Genomic DNA, 1,785 nt, shown 5'->3' with positions numbered 1-1,785 from the left:
GGTCTAACCTCCTACTTTGCTGGAGTTGCAGCTGCTTTTGCCAGGAAGCCCATGTATTTAAAGCTCCCAGGGATTTGAATGTGCCTGAGCGGCTGCTCTGCTAGGACACTTCATATCTCTGTATGTGAGATTGAAGGCCCTGGTGGATGGAGTTCACAAGGAAATCTCCTGACTTGAGGGTTGCAAAGATTCGTGGGAGAAATGCTGGTCCCCAGGGTCACTCACTCACTCACTCACCGCTTCCCTTATATGGGAGGCTTCCCTGGCTCCGTGTTGTTCCTGGGTGAGAGGTCGTTCTGCCTTGCTTTCTCTGTTCTCCATGGGTTGAGTTGTTTTCTTGATGAATCCCAATGCATGTACCTGAATGCTTCAGTTGAAAGTGCTGTATTTACTCACCCCTTCTATTTCTCTCCTTGAGAGAAGTGCACCTTAGCTGCTTCTAGTCGAATATCTTGCACTTTCTCCAAGATCCTGTTTTCAATTATTTTGGATATATACTCAGAAGTAGAATTGCTAGATTATGTGGTGATCCTATTTTTATTTTTTGAGGACCCTCCAAAATGGTTTCCATAGCAGTTGCAACATTTTACATTCCCACCAACAGTGTACAAGGGTTCCAATTTATCCCTATCCTCACAAACGTGAGGATTTTTTGATAGTGGCCATCCTAATAGGTGTGCAGTGATATCCCCTTTAGTTTCATTTTGCATTTCCCTGATGGTTAGTGATGTTGAGCATCTTTTCATATATTGTTGGTCATTTGTATATTATCTTGGGAGAAATGTCAAGTCCTTTGTCCATTTTTATACTGGATTATTTAATTTTCTTTGTTGAGTTGTAAGAGTTCTTGATACATTCTAGATATTAACCTCTTATCAGATATATGGATTTGCAAATACTTTCTCTCATTCCATAGGTTGCCTTTTTACTCTGTTGATTGTTTCCTTTGTTATGGAGAAGTTTTCAAGTTTGATATAGTCTCATTTGTGTAGTTCTGTGTTTGATGCCTGTACTTTTGGTGTTTTATTCAAGAAAACATTGCCAAGTTCAGAGTCATAAAGCCTTTTCCATGTTTATTTGTAACAGTTTTATAGTTTTGGCCCTTACATTTGGCTTGTTAATCCATTTTGAGTTAATTTCTATATATGGTAAAAGGTAAGAGTCACAGTTCATTATTCTTCATGTGGATGTCCAGTTTTTCCAGGATCATTTGTTGAAGAAATTTTGCTTTTTCCATTGTGTACTAGGCACCTTTGCCAAGGATAATTTGACCATATACATGACAGTTTATTCTTGAACTCTATTCTGTGCTTTGGTCTATATCTCTGTCTTTATGCCAGTTCCATTGTGTTTTGATTACAGTAGCTTTGTAATATGTTTTGAAATTTGGATGTATGAGGCCTCCAGTTTGTTTTTCTTTCTCAAGATAATTTTGGCTATTTGGGATTCAATGAGAATTCATATACATTTTAGAATTTCTTTTCTATTTTTGCAAAAAATGCCATTGGGATTTTGATAAGAATCCCATTGAATCTGTAGGTCTCTTTGGGTAGTAAGGACATTTTGACAATATTAAGTCTTCCAATTCATAAGAAATCTGTTTCCATGTATTTATATATTCCTTAGTTTATTTCATCACTGTTTTACAGTGTTCAGCTTATCAGCCTTTCTACCTCTTCAGTAAAGTTTATACTAAGTATTTTATTCTATTTGATGCTACTGTAAATGGGAATTTTTAAAATTTCCTTTTCATATTATTACTTGTCAACATATAGAAATGCAAGT

The sequence above is a fragment of the Homo sapiens genome, chromosome X (genome assembly GCF_000001405.40).
Source record: "Homo sapiens chromosome X, GRCh38.p14 Primary Assembly".
NCBI classification, from domain to species: Eukaryota; Metazoa; Chordata; class Mammalia; order Primates; family Hominidae; genus Homo; species Homo sapiens.
This window is presented reverse-complemented; position numbering follows the sequence as displayed.